The 15,098-nt window shown below is 52.6% G+C and overlaps 1 long non-coding RNA gene across 5 annotated transcripts in view, besides 1 other annotated feature; it reads right to left on the bottom strand.

Moving 5' to 3' along the window:
* The window catches only part of LRRK1-AS1 (LRRK1 antisense RNA 1), a 109,606-nt gene that overhangs the window by 39,321 nt on the left and 55,187 nt on the right, over positions 1-15,098 (bottom strand). For 3 of the 5 annotated variants that reach the window (XR_001751726.2, XR_001751725.2, XR_001751721.2), the window contains exon 1: positions 9,012-10,061. The exons of 1 other annotated variant lie outside the window; for it this stretch is intronic. This is a non-coding gene — a long non-coding RNA (LRRK1 antisense RNA 1). Of the gene's footprint in view, positions 1-9,011; positions 11,655-12,266; positions 12,839-15,098 lie in introns of those variants that run through there. One more of the 5 variants, XR_001751723.2, reaches the window with a different exon arrangement.
* Positions 7,319-7,558: a silencer, noted in NCBI's record as "silent region_6883". NCBI's record gives its function as "represses an Ori minimal core promoter by ATAC-STARR-seq in GM12878 lymphoblastoid cells {active_cell/tissue: GM12878}" and the evidence as "EXISTENCE:reporter gene assay evidence [ECO:0000049][PMID:35858748]".

Consider the following 15,098-nt stretch of genomic DNA (forward strand, 5'->3'; position numbering starts at 1 on the left):
GAGCAGTGGTTGCCTCTGGGGAGGGAATCAGATGGCTAGGCAGGACCCTTCTTAACATGACTTTTACTTATTTTTAAAGCGAATGGAAATTAATATCCATCATCAAAAATATTTTCTAGCTCTGTCATGAAGAGTGATCCAGGGAGTAGCACTTTCTTGCATTCAAAAACACATACGCACACAGCACACACATATATATACATAGGCATACACACCACACACCTACACACGCATACACTCATATACACATAACAGGCACATATGCACATGACATACACATGCACACATATACATATATCATGCACAGAGATAGATACATACACACATGCATCCTCATGCACACACACTGCACACACATACATGTATAGAGACACACATCACACACCCACACATGCATACACTCATATACACATACAGGCACATTTACACATGGCACACACATTCGTGAGCACATACGCATACACCATACACATGTACACATACATGCATATACAAATACACATACACATGACATGAATGCTCATACACACACACCGCACACATACATACAGATATACACACACTTGTATACACATACACGCACACTTACACATGACCCACTTATGCGCACATACACACAGCGTGCACACATACGCATATATGCAGATACATATGTATACACATGACACACGTGCGTGCACACACATATACCACACACACACATACACAACACACATACATGCATATACACACACAGACATGCACACACATTATTTACAGTGGGCCTGGGACAGGCTGCATACCCAGGGGTTTCAGGGCAGTGCTCACTCTGGCCAAGTGGCAGTGACTTGTTCACTGGTTCATTGAAATAATGCCAGTTGTCAAAAGTTGCAATGATACCAATACAGTTTCTAGAAAGCATATAAATTGTAGTGGTAATGGAAAAGGTTAGAGCTCATCGTACATGTATGTATGTATGCATGTATGCATGTATGTATGTATGTATGCATGTATATCCTTATCTTGGAAGGAGTGTAGGAGCTGTCGCTCTGGTGGCCGCACTGATGACCAGCGAGAAAGAGGTCCAGCAGGAAGGGGCCCACAGATGCGGGACAGCCATCTGTCCTGAGATAGCCCTGAGACAGTGAGCTGCCTGCCCACACTCACCCCTCCCGCCTGAGAAAGACCCTCAAAGCAGCCAGTCTAGCACATGCTAACAAGATATGCTTCCCTGGTCCTAGTGAAGCAGGCCACGGAGGCATATCTCGTTAGCATGTGTATGTCCCACCAGCATATCATAGAAGTGGGACAAGCAAAATTACAGAGTACTTCGCTTCAGGGGGTGGACATCAGGCTGCCAAAAAACACAAAGCTTCATGAAAAGCTTGAGCTTCCAACATCCTACAGAAAGGACACAGCCTAATGCCTGAGCTCAGGTTCCAGTCACCTCGGGAGGAACAGTTGGGAGCACCGCCCCAAAGGAACCATCGACACCCTGGCCCCTGTGTCCTCAGCCCTTAACTGGTCCCACCCTGAAGCCTTGTCTCTTTTCCTGGGGTCGCCGCAACCCTAGGAAGGCTCAGAACCCCTGGGAAGAGCTATGAGCACCAGTAAGAAGACGGGGAGTAGGGTGAGGAGGGGAGGTGGGAATCAGGCTTCAGCACTGGGGTCAGTTCCAGAGAGAGCAGAGTGCTTCGTTGTGTAACCAATATAGCATTTTAGGCATGTTTTGAGTGTTTGGGTGTTCGAAGCACTAGAGATAGTCTAACATTTTAGACTTTAATTAAATATTTACAAGTGGGATCCAATAAAAACGTTAAATCAGTGTTTCACTGGAGGAATTGCCAAAACTCAGGAGTCGTGTGTGAGACACAGAAGCGGTGTGTTACTGTTTGGAAAGGGTTGATGGTTTCATGTTTAACAGATTCATGAGCCTGATAAATAGGGTATCAACAGTGCACAGGCAGTAACGCGTGAGCCCAGCAGTGCCCTCACAGCCTGGCACCCAGCCTGGCTCCCAGGAAGTGCTCACGTGGGTTGAAGGCAGAGGGAGATGGCCATGGAGGCGCTTCAGGTTTGCTGGCCATAAGTGCTGGGATGACTCCATCTCTCTGACATAAGGACAGAAAGATCTGGAAGAGAGTGGCATCCTTTTCCCAAGGGCACATTCACCCCACTCCAGGCTAGATAGCCCTACCTCCCCTGCACCCCACAGTGTTCAACTCACCCAGAAGCCCAGGGAGCCCAGGAGAGGTGTGAGCAATGGAAGAAAGACCAGCACTGGTGCCTTGCCAGCCACACCGATGTCACTCAGCAGTGGGGCAGGCACATCGTTCAGGTAGTGGGACATATTAGCTGTACTCTGGGAGGCTGGGAACAAACAGCCCTACAGCATCCCACAAGTCTCAAGCTCTAGGGTTCCCCTTGGTTCCACGGAGCATAAAGGCCAGCCAGAGAGCATGGCCTGCAGTGAGGGTGAACGGAGGCTCTGGGAGGAGGACAGTGAAAGGCAAGGAAAGGCACCTGCAATCCACTAAGTGAAACAGGGAGGCCTGAAGATCATGTTTTTAAAAAATTGTAGAGTATTGTATAAATGTATAAATGACAAGGCTGGAAGGACACAGACCAAAATATTAGTGGTGGTTATTCCTCGCTGCTGGAATGGCCACTTTTATTCCTTTTCTTTTGGATTGTTCGTATGTAGAATTTCTTTTGCAATTAAAAAAAAATCAAAGTTACAAATTTTTTTTTTGAGACAGGGTCTCACTCCATCACCCAGGCTGGAGTGCAGTGGTGTGATCTCGGCTCACTGCAGCCTTGACTTCTGGGCTGAGGTGATTCTCCCACCTCAGCCTCCTGAGTAGCTGGGACTACAGGTACACACCACCACGCCTGGCTAAATTTCTTTTATTTTTTGTAAAGATAGGGTTTCACTACGTTGCCCAGGCTAGTCTCAAACTTCTGAGCTCAAGGAGCTCAAGGGATCTTTCCACCTCATCTTCCCAAAGTGCTGGGATTATAGGTGCAAGCTACTGTGCCCAACTAAAATATTCATTCTTAATTACTATAAAATTACTATGGAACCAAAGAGTGCACGTCCTTGTTGTGACTGGTCCCCTTTGAGACTCCCAGCATCCTGGCAGCAACACCAAAGAGGCACCATTGTCAGCTACCCAATTCCCAGAATCCAGAAACAACCCATTTATTCAAGTAGTAGGCAACTGCCTTGCTCCTCCAAGCCTGGACAGGAATCTCACTTTCCCCAGGAGGGTGGGACACACAGAGGGCCTTCTGCGGTGCTGTCTCTTCGAACTGCCTTAGACGAGGGGGACGAGGGGGCTGCTCCCATCCAATCACTGCCCAGGTGAGTCCTGGCCCTTGAAGGCCTAAAGCACGGGTTCCTGGTCTCAGAAGAACCCCAAGGTACTGGCACACCTCATATACCCAGCCTCCAAAACCCCCTCCTGGAGCCGAGTTTCTGAATGAGAGGGAGGCTGGATGCTGGGAGCACCCACCCTCTAATGAGCACGGCTGGCATCCTCTCCGGGGGTGGCAAGGGGCAGTGGCTTCTCTCAGCACTGGGGGCTGGCCCGGAAGCTGGGCCTCCAGTGTCCTCACTGTTTCTATGGAAAGGTGAGTTTTGGATCACTGCCATCCGGAAGCCCCCTCTCCCTCTGCCATTTACAAAGGACTAAGGGACAGGGCCCCAGATTCTCACCCGTCCCTCCCTCCACACAGGCGTCTGTCTCCTTCCCAACTGGGTACTTTTTGGAGGCGCTGGGTAAATTCTGGTGGCCACATGCATTCTGCTGGATCTACTGCCTGGACTTACAGCTGTCATCGAAATCCCCCTTGACACGCGACCCCACAGGATCCTCAGCTCCTGACTTCTGAGTCCAGACACGTTGCCCAAAGGCGCCATCAGACCTGGGATTCACCAGCCTCCCACAGGCCTCTCCCCAGAGCCCCAGCCTGGCCAGTGGGACCAGAGCAGTCTCAGGCTGTGCTGAGGACCCCGTCCCCAGAAACGGCTGGGCCAGCTCCACCAGCATTCCACCACCGTCCTCTTGCCATGTCCCTGATAATGCACACTTTTTTTTTTTTTTTGAGACAGAGTTTCACTCTTGTTGCCAGGCTGGAGTGCAATGGCGCGATCTTAGCTCACCTCAACCTCTGCCTCCCGGGTTCAAGCGATTCTCCTGCCTCAGCCTCCCGAGTAGCTGGGACTACAAGCATGCGCCACCACGCCCGGCTAATTTTGTATTTTTAGTAGAGACGGGGTTTCTCTGCGTTGGTCATGCTGGTCTTGAACTCCCGACCTCAGGTATCCGCCCTACCTCGGCCTCCCAAAGTGCAGGGATTACAGGCGTGAGCCACCGCGCCTGGCTGATAATGGACACTCTGTAGCAGGATCAATGCACAGCAGGCCACTGTGGCCAAGACCTGAGGTCCCACGCCCATTCAGCTCCATCTGGGGTGTGTCACATCCTTCACTGCAAACCCCACCTCAGCCACTACTGTACAGCTCTCAGATCCTCAGCTTCCTCGTCTGTAAAACCAAGGAATGAATCCGGGACTCAGCACAGGGGGATGCTCCGCAAGACTCTCCGGCGCCTGCGCGGCTCTTCCCCAGCTCCCCCTGCAGCTACGTCACCTCCCACGGCCTCCTCCGGCGCCTGCGCGGCTCTTCCCCAGCTCCCCCTGCAGCTACGTCACCTCCCACGGCCTCCTCCGGCGCCTGCGCGGCTCTTCCCCAGCTCCCCCTGCAGCTACGTCACCTCCCACGGCCTCCTCCGGCGCCTGCGCGGCTCTTCCCCAGCTCCCCCTGCAGCTACGTCACCTCCCACGGCCTCCTCCGGCGCCTGCGCGGCTCTTCCCCAGCTCCCCCTGCAGCTACGTCACCTACCCCGGCCTCCTCCGGCGCCTGCGCGGCTCTTCCCCAGCTCCCCCTGCAGCTATGTCACCTCCCACGGCCTCCGGCGCCTGCGCGGCCGCGGCTCCGCCGTTCAACCGCATGCGCGACAGCGCTGAGGCCCGGGGAGCGAGGATCTGCCGCCGCTCAGCCCGGAGCCCGCTCAGAAACCTCGTTCTGCCGACTCGGACGGCAGCCGCCGTTTTGGATCCTGCATTCATTTCCTCCCAGGCTCTGGCTTGTCCCGTCGTTGGTGTCATCTAGGAGCTGCCCAGTCCCGGTCTCACTCATGTGAGTGTGGCGGGCTGGGCGTGTGCAGAATCTCCAGGAGGCACTTTTCTGCACACTCTGGAGAGCCTGCCTGGCCCTCCAAGCACACACCCGTCACTACGCAGACCCGAGAAGGCTCTGCGAGGTGGTTGTGGCTTCCACCACATGAGCACCAGGAGCTGACCTCTTCCCTTCCTCCAAAGTGGCCTCTGGGATGTGCTGCGTGCCAGGCGACATCTCTCCCACCGAGACTCAATCCTCCATCTCCAAGTCCAGCCAAGGCATCCCCGTCAACCCTGCCCTCAAGCAGCACAACTTCTCCCCTGGTCTGGAGACAGAGGAGAAGGAGGGGAGGAAGAGGGTGGGGGCTGGGGGGAGCTTCAGCTGACAATGAGGTGGAAGGAACTAGAAAACATTTCTCCCTCTGAAATAGCGGCATCGGGTCACCAAAGCCTCAGATCAAGTGCAGCTGGAGAAGGGGAAGTGAATGAACTCTTTATCTGGACTTTCTTTATCAAAAAGGTTTAAACTGGATCTAAGGCACACTAGGTGTTTTTGCCCTCGGTGCAAGGTTTCTGCTCCGCAATGGAGCCGTGGAGCAGACAATGGCTGGAGCCCAGCCTGCCCATCAGTGGGGCCTGCACAAGGCTGAGGCGATCTCAGGAATCAGGGCTGGACCCCTTCCAGCTACTGGTCTGCCCACCCCAGAGGCCCCTGTCCTTTGAGTTTCCCGTTATTGGTTTCCCTTTCATTCACTCTTACGTTCAGAGGTCGGACCTAAGAGAACAGAGACACACTGGGTAGTGCAATATGAAGCGGGGCAGCTGGGGTCAGGGTCAGAAAATGGGGCTCGCACTCCCTCCAGCACCTCCTGGCTGGGTGACCCACAGCCACCTCCTCTCTCCTGGGACCTGCGGCTCCTCCATGCCCTGCCTCCTTGGTTGATGAAGAACCAATGGCTGTGTGCCACAAACTACTAGGTTCCATCACAATGGAGGCCATGGGGGCCTCAAGACCAAAGACCCCAAGACCCCTGAGTACAAGCAGGGGCAGCCAGGAATTGGGCCTCTGCTGGGTCCTGGAAACCCCAAAAGCTAAAGGCCCAGGGCTTCGCTCCAAACCTCTCCCTCGAGGCCACACTGAGGACTAAAGGAATTGCCAGAGCTCAGCCTCAAGGGGCTGTTCCTCAATGTGGTGTTGAGGGTGGGATTTGGAAATACAGGCCCAGGTTCGAATCCTCCCTCTGCCAATTGCCAGCTGCCAGACCCAGGGCAAGATCCTATGCCTCTTAGATTCTTGTTTCCTCAATGACAGAGATGGAAAATAATCAGGGATGACAGCCTGGAACAGCAAGTTGTAAGGGTGTATGCATAGACAGATCCCCACTGCGGAGAGCACGCATCAGGGAAGATGCTGCAGCCCCCACCCTGGCTCCTGAAGTACAGTTCAGGTGCATAAGGGCCTCCAGGTCTTTCCTGTCAATGTTCTTGGGGACTATCCATGGTCCCCCACCAACCCCACCCTCCTGACCTTGGCATGCTCAGGGCCAGTGTAACGTCTTTTGTGCTGTCTACTTCTGTTCCAGTCAGGGAGTAGACCCTGAACCTCAGGCTTGGCCTGAAAATTCTCTTCAGCTGCACACAGCTGTCCCCAGCACAGGGACAGGAACAGGAACCAGCAGCGAGGGGCCTGCCATCCCCCAAGTGACAAGGCCCTACAGAGGAACTCCCATCGCTCAAGGCAGGGCACTTGCCCCTCTCAGTTCTCAGGGAGGGATTGCATCAAAGTCAGGGGCTGGGCTGGGAGGACTTACTTGCTAGAGGGAGACAGGCAGGTGGACACTGGATGGGGGAACGAACGTGAGGGTCTGGGTGCAGAGGCTTCCTTGTCGCTTCAGAAAATGTGACACTCCTCATTGCAGCCCCTCTCCCAAAAACCAATCCTCCCCAGTCATCACTAACTCCCAGGCAGTGACGGGGAAGGAGGGCCAGGGGGACCCTTGGGCAAAGCCGGGGGCTGGGCCCTGTTTCTCCTACAGCAGAGAAAGAACTCGGTCAACCATGGTGGCTAGAAGCCGGGGGCTTGGGAAAGAAAGGTCTGCTGTTTGCCAAAATGTAACAGCTCCTCTCCCTCACTGAAGCCCGGGAGAGCAGAGAGCCGTGCCAACCTCTCCAGCCTATTCCTGAGGGCACCTGCCCCCATGCAACCCGCGGGCAGGAGCAGTTCCCTCGCCCGCCGCCAGGGTGCGCCCCGCTCCGAGCAGCCGGACGCCGTCCTCCCGCCGCGACGGGGCACCAGCCCGCCGAGAAATGGCTGCCCCGGGGCTCCTGCGCCCTCTGAGAAGAGTTTGTGGGCTTGATGAGTTTGCTTTACCAAGTATTCCCAAGTACGATGCCACGTGGGGAAAAAGGAACCCTTGTGGCGGGTGTGGACGAATGTAAATACAGACACCCCCGGCGGGCAGGCAGAGGCCCAAACAAGCGGGCCCGCCTGGGGGCCGGCTGCGGGGCGGACCTTCTTCTCCCAACGTTCTAGGCGGCATCTTGTATTTCTGGTGCAATAGAAAAGTTTTAAAAACGTAACTTGGCTTTTTTGCATGTACTACAGGCTCATGAATACTCTGTTCTCTATGTGCACGCATATGTATGTGTGTGTGTGTTCGTGTTTGTGTGTGCATATGTGTGTGTATGTGTATGTGTGTTGTGTTCGTGTGTTTGTGTGTGTTCATGTGTGTGCATGTGTGTGTAGGTGTGTGTTTGTGTGTGTGTGCACGCACACATGCTTTAATGTCTCTGGCATCTGGACCCGCGGCCAGGTGCAGGCCTGGTGGCAGAGTAGGGCTCTGTGTCCACACTAGGGAATTTGGGGGGTCTGCGGGCCAGGGGTACATTGGGAATAGGGGAAAGAGTAGAAAAGGGTCTGGAAATCCAGAGAACATTTTTCCTGAGAGAGTCTCTTGACAAAAGCAGCTTCTACAACTACAGCAGTCCCTCAGCTCTCACAGCTGGGACCTACTAACCCTTGCGCTGTTCTCAGCAAAACTCCTCAGAACTCAGCCACAAAAGGCAAGTCAGCAGTTCACACTTGTGTCAGCCACACAGAAACTGTATTCCACCAAGAACAGCCTGCCCCTAATACAAATAGGGCAGGGGATGGCAAAAGGTTCTGTCCCAAGTCCCCTAAACTGGAGCCACAGAGGGGAGACCATCCACAGAGGAAGCTCTGGGCTCCCGGGGGGGCTCTCAGGACCCCCCACTGCTTGGTTCCAGGGTGAGGCTCTGCCTGGCTCCCCTCATTCCGGAACCACAACTCACAAGCCAAGAAACACAAAACCAAAAGCCACATGAACAGGCACAGACAGCGAGGGAGGCAGGCCAGGCCCCAGGACAGCCTGGGGCACTCCATCAAACTGAATGACCCTGTGGACTCCAGTTAACCCTGAGCTTGCCCCTTTCCCCAGCCATGGTGAAAAAGGCAGAAATGGAGGGGCCTCCCCCATGCCTTGGTGGCCCAGCTCACTATTGGGCCTGTGGAGGACCTGTCCAGCAGCTGTTAGGAAGAGAAGAAGGTACTGGAAGGGCCTGATTAAGGCTGTCTGTGCAGCTGGATCGTGGCTGGGGCAGAGTGGGAAGGAAGGCCAGGAGAGTGGCGTGTCCGATTATGTTCTCCAAAGACGGCCACAACAGTACCTCCCATCCTGTCACCCCTCCCATCAACAAGTGGAGTCTGTGTCCCTTCCCCTTGTATTTGGGGGGAGCTTGTGACTTGCTTGTTACAAATAGAATATGGTGGAAATGATGCAGCATAACTGCCAAAGCTCAGTAGGAAAGGCAATGAAGCAGACACTCACCTCTGGAGCCCTGAGCCTGTAGTCAAGAAGTCTGACTGTGATGAGGCCGCCATGCTCTGAGGAAGCCCAAGCCACATGCAGAGGCTGTTGTGGCCAACAGCCTGGGCTGAGGTCGCACCAACAGCCAGCATCATGTGGGGGAAACATGAGAGATGACATCTTCAGATGGTTCCAGCTGTTGGGTCCCTCTCAGCTGTGGAGTCTTTGCAGTGGAGGCCTCAGACTTTACAGGATGGAAGCAAGTCAGCCCTCCTGTGCTCTGTGCAACTTCCAGACCTGCAGAACCAGGAGTATGGGAAGATGGCTGTGGTAAGCCGCTAAGTTTTGGGGTGCTTTGTTAGAAAACAGCAGTAACTGGAACAGATGGCCCAGGGAGAGATTCAGAAAACTGTGCCAACCAACATTCTGCTCTTTTCACTTTCACGGATGCTGCCGGGACCCAGGAGGCCACAGGTCTTTTGAAGAGCTGTCCCCTCTTTAGCAGGTAATGACTCAGGCTCAGGGGATGTGGGAGCTGCCTCTGGCAGGGCAGCCCCCTCTGCCTGGTGTGCAGGGAACCAAAGTTTGCAGCTTGTGCAAGGCAGACCTGGCCTCTTCTTCTCAGGCCTGAGGAAGGTGCTGCTGGCCAAGACTGACTGTCCGTGCTGGCTGAGCTCTGGGGCGGATTGGCCAGTCCTGCTGGTGTTTCCAGGCCTGATGGATGAACAGGGCCTCCAGAGTCATGGGTGACTACAGCACCGGCTCCTTGTCAGGCCCAAACGAAAACCACTGCTGCTGTGGCCTAGCGACCTTAGAGAGGAGACACACCTTGCCTTTGCCACTTGTTTCTGGCCTGGGCTCTGCACTCCTCTCCATCGGCTACTCTGACTCATCGGGAGTAGACAAAGGGACAGAAGTTTCCAGGAAAAGGGAAAGAGACTGCAGGCAGGTCCTGTGGCTGTGGAAGTGGGTCTGGGGAGCCTTGACAAGGCCCCCCGCTCCAGAGGCCCACATGGCCAGCAGCAGCCAGGCCATAAGCAGTCAGCAGCTGCCATCATTGCCTATCAGACTATCTGTTTCCAAGGAAGAGGCTCCAGGAAGCCACAACACAGACGCCTTTATTCTCCCTGCTGAGATGCCAGCCAGGGACTAAAGGGCAGGAGAGAGGCCTCCGAGGTATGGGTTTGCCTCCCAGAATGTGCAGCCGGAAATGACCTTGACCTTCTCCCATCCCCATTGTGCACATGGGAAAGGAAGGCCCAGGGAAGCGGCCGATCCAAAATGTGTCGTTGCCAGGGCAACCCGGCCGCAGCGCTTGCAAGCCTGGGAAAAAGTTGTTGTTCATCACGGGGGTGGACGTTTGTCTTGTTTTGATTTTTCAAAAGCCTGAACCAACTCAGCTTTTTAACATGCTGCTCCAGGACACGGTGCTACTTGCAGACAGCCTGAGGAGCAGATGCAGGCAGAGCTGATGGTGTTCAGACACCCTCGCCGATTCCAAAACATCCCTGCTCGGCTCCTGCCTCACTTCTCGGCAGACAGCCCTGTCCTGTCTATACCCAAGACCCAAGGGTCAGGCCGATTCCTGTCCATTTCCCTCAATCAGCAACTTTGGTGTAGGAATGAAGTTAAAAGATCCGAGTTCACTGTCCGCAATATGATGCAGTTGCCCTATTTTCTCTTCCCTGAAAAGTTAGGAAACTTTGACATTAAGGAAGTCGTTTGTCATGATTTCTCATTGTCACACAAGTTTAACCACTGTCACATCAGACCAAAAGGCAGCGCTGATCCAGCTGTGTGTGGCATGACTCCAGACTTCTTGGTGAGGAATGGAGATCCTTACGGCAGAATTCAAGCTTCCCTTGTTGCAAAAGAAAGCAAATTCCCCCTCCGGAGAGGCCTTCTCAGCATTGGCCCCAGCTGGAGGCTCTGTCCATTTAACTCCTAAGCATCTCACTTGGGCATCCAGTGAGATGAGCAGGGACCACAGCCATCTCCTAACTCCCCAGTCTCCATTGTGGGGTCCAGGCCTAGGTGGCTCCCAGGTCCTGATTCAGCTTCACAGGGCTGCGGTGCCCTCCTCAAGCCCCGCTGCTTCACCCAGCCTGACTAGCACGGCCTCCAATCCCCCTGTGCCTGCCCCTTCTCTCAGGCACCTCCAGTCTGAAGGACGGTGGGGCAGCTCACTAGTGTGCACCTGCAGGAGGACTCAGTGAGAGGAGGGAGACAGGGCAGCCAGGCACTGCTGTGCTGTGCCCACCCTGCCTACTGGACAGGCCGAGGGCAGGCCATGGGCACCCATGCTCAGGTTTTAAGAAGAGAGAGATCATTCAGAGTGGACCGAGCCATTCCCACCAGCCATTCTACATCGGCGCCCGAGAGGCAGTGCCTCTTGCGTGTGGAGGAGCACACATGAGAACTCCCTGGAGCACTCCCAACTGTAGATCACGGCAGTCGCAGAGAGCCTTAGGAGGCAGAGGGTCTACAGAGCTGGCAGGGGACCCTCGGAGTCCATGACTGTCGCTGTGACTGGGCCCCGCTTCCAGGCTGTGTCCGACAAGGCCAGGAGGGCAGCCTCCACCTCAAGCCTACATCATGCACGCTGGCCCCAGGGGGTTTCTGTGTGGAACACCAGCTGAGTACATGAGGATGAGATGGCACAAACTGCAAGATAGAATAGCGGGGAATAGTACAAATTAAATAAGCCATGAGGTGAGATCACCTCAAGAAGACTGGTGAGCCTAAGCTTTGGCTCCATGATCCTGCCCCTAAGTTCTTAAAAAATGCAGAAAAGGTGTTTAAGAAAATAAGTTAATTCCTGGCAGTGCTGGGGAAAGGTGGTTGCGACAGATCTTGCATTTTCCAAGATGGCTACCACAAGACCTTTCATCCCACATGGCTTTTCTACCAAGGGGCTCAGACGCTCCTCCTATCCAGAGTTGGGGTCTCTCCTTCCTCTCCTGGAACCCTGGTGGGCCAGTGACTACACAAAAGTGATGCCACGTGACTAGCTGGGTCAGAAAGGCCGATTCCATTTCTGCCTGGCCCTCTGGGCGAGCTTATTATTGACACTCAGACTCCATGCTATGAGACAGCCCAAGCCACATGGAGGTGACACAGGCAGGTGTTCCATCTGATGCCCGGATAAGCAGCGCCCAACCAGTCTGGCTGCAGGCCCATAAAAGGAGGGCATCGGAACAGGACCTGCGCAGCCAAACCCATCAACCCTCAGGAGCCATGAGAAATGAGAATAAAATGGTTGTTTTAAGCCATTACCTTTAAGAGTGATTCCTTACTCAGCAACAGATAACCAGAACAGGATACTTTCAGTGGTCCAGAAGTTATGAAGCAGCTGGGATTAGTGAGAATCAGGAAACCATAGCTCCAAATTCTGGAAATGGTGGCTGCTTCCAGTTCAGTGGGAGCAGGTACAAGCGAGAGAACAGGGCTGCAAGTGACCGTTAGGTGCTAAGGGCCTGCATCCAGAAGACCACCCGGGCCCAGCCTACCTGGCGACGCATTCTTGCCTCTCACCTGCAATTGCTGAGGGTAAATAGATACATCACTTACAGATGCGTCAACAGGAAACCTCCCCCTCTAAGATGAGCGCTTAACGAAGACACTACAAACAGCTGAGGAAAACCCACAGCGAGAGAGAGTCACCAAACTCAACAGCTAAACCACCTAAAGAAAGTGAGTTCTTATTACAAAGAAATGGAGATTTTAAAAGAAGTATGTTGGTCGGGCATGGTGGCTCACACCTGTAATCCCGGCACTTTGGGAGGCCGAGGTGGGTAGATCACTTGAGGCTAGGAATTCGAGGCCAGCCTGGCCAACATGGTGAAACCCTGTCTCTCCTAAAAATACACAATTTAGCCAGGCATAGTGGGGACACCTGTAATCCTAGCTACTTGGAAGGCTGAGGCATGAGAATCACTTGAACCTGGGAGGTGGAGGTTGCAATGAGCTGAGATTGCACCACTGCACTCCAGCCTAGGCAAGAGAGTGAGACCCTATCTCAAAAAAAAAAAAAAAAGTCTATTAATGTATTTGGAGAAATAAAGATCAGGCCACTGTTAAAAAAAAAAAGGAACCAACTAAAGACCTTAACATATGATTGTTAAACATATGATTGTTAAAAGGAAAACTCAAGAAAGCCAAGGAGAAAAGTGGAGCCCCCTGAAGAGCAAGTTTCTGGAGTTTGAAGCCAAAGTCCTGTTCAGAATGTAGCACACAAGGAAAACAGCACGAAAACTGTGAAGGAAATGTGAAGGTGCATGGAGGATAGATGCAGAAGTTGCAAAACCATCTAATAGAAATTCCAAAAACAGTGGGTTAGAATTAGAAAACACTAAGAGAAACAGTAGACAAGAAATGTATTGCAACCTATTCCCCAAAAGCTTAAAAAGAGAAAGCTTGGATAGTTCAATAGCCAAAGAATTTGCATAGACAATAAAAGACTAAACTAGAAGACCGAACATTTTTTTAAATGCCTGGGCCCAGCTGTTTTTATAGACTTTTATTTATTTATTTATTTGAGATGGAGTCTTGCTCTGTTGCCCAGGCTGGAGTACAGTGGAATGATCTTGGCTCACTGCAACCTCCACCTCCCAGGTTCAAGCAATTCTCTGCCTCAGCCTCCCAAGTAGCTGGGATTACAGGCGCCTGCTGCCAAGCCTGGCTAATTGTTTTGTATTTTTAGTAGAGACAGGGTTTCACCATCTTGACCGGCCTGGTCTTGAACTCCTGGCCTCATGATCCACCCACCTTCGCCTCCCAAAGTGCTGAGATTACAGGCGTGAGCCACAGCACCCGGGACACTTTTTGCTTAACCTTCAAAGATAGGTAATTATCATGTTAGGTAAACTACTTTGGAGCATACAACAATCTAGAAAGTGAATTAACGTATTTTGCAGGATAATATAAGGTTAATTCCAAAACGAAAAGAGAGCACACTAATGATCATGTATGCAAATATTTTAATATATTAGCAAATCAAATCAAGTAGCATAGTAAAGGAATAACCCATCATGACCAAGTAGCATTTAATCCCAGGTAAGCAAGACTTGCTTGACAGTAAGACTCACTACGTTAGCTTAGTAGAGTAGGAAAAACTAGATGACCCGAACCTCTCAATAGATAGAGGCAGAGTAGGAGAAGAGAACATTTTAGCTGTTGTTTCCTTCACTTGATTAGGGCATTTTCTGCAGACCCACAGCAAAGATCCCATCTACTGATGAAGCCAAGACCCACAGCAAAGATCCCATCTACTGATGAAGCCAAGACCCACAGCAAAGATCCCATCTACTGATGAAGCAAAGACCCACAGCAAAGATCCCATCTGCCGATGAAGCAAAGACCCACAGCAAAGATCCCATCTACCGATGAAGCAAAGACCCACAGCAAAGATCCCATCTACCGATGAAGCCAAGACCCACAGCAAAGATCCCATCTACCGATGAAGCAAAGACCCACAACAAAGATCCCATCTACTGATGAATCCAAGACCCACAGCAAAGATCCCATCTACTGATGAAGCCAAGACCCACAGCAAAGATCCCATCTACTGATGAAGCAAAGACCCACAGCAAAGATCCCATCTGCTGATGAAGCAAAGACCCACAGCAAAGATCCCATCTACCGATGAAGCAAAGACCCACAGCAAAGATCCCATCTACCGAAGAAGCCAAGACCCACAGCAAAGATCCCATCTACTGATGAAGCCAAGACCCACAGCAAAGATCCCATCTACAGATGAAGCAAAGACCCACAGCAAAGATCCCATCTACTGATGAAGCCAAGACCCACAGCAAAGATCCCATCTGCTGATGAAGCAAAGACCCACAGCAAAGATCCCATCTGCTGATGAAGCAAAGACCCACAGCAAAGATCCCATCTGCTGATGAAGCAAAGACCCACAGCAAAGATCCCATCTACAGATGAAGCAAAGACCCACAGCAAAGATCCCATCTACAGATGAAGCCTATGAAACCTAGTTACTAAAGGCACCACTTTTTGCCCACCTGATTGTGAACATTTTGAAAGACTAATAATATCAAATGTTAGTGAGGGTGTACAGAAATTTCACCTCTCATGCACCGCCAAAGG

The sequence above is a fragment of the Homo sapiens genome, chromosome 15 (genome assembly GCF_000001405.40).
Source record: "Homo sapiens chromosome 15, GRCh38.p14 Primary Assembly".
Taxonomy (NCBI): domain Eukaryota; kingdom Metazoa; phylum Chordata; class Mammalia; order Primates; family Hominidae; genus Homo; species Homo sapiens.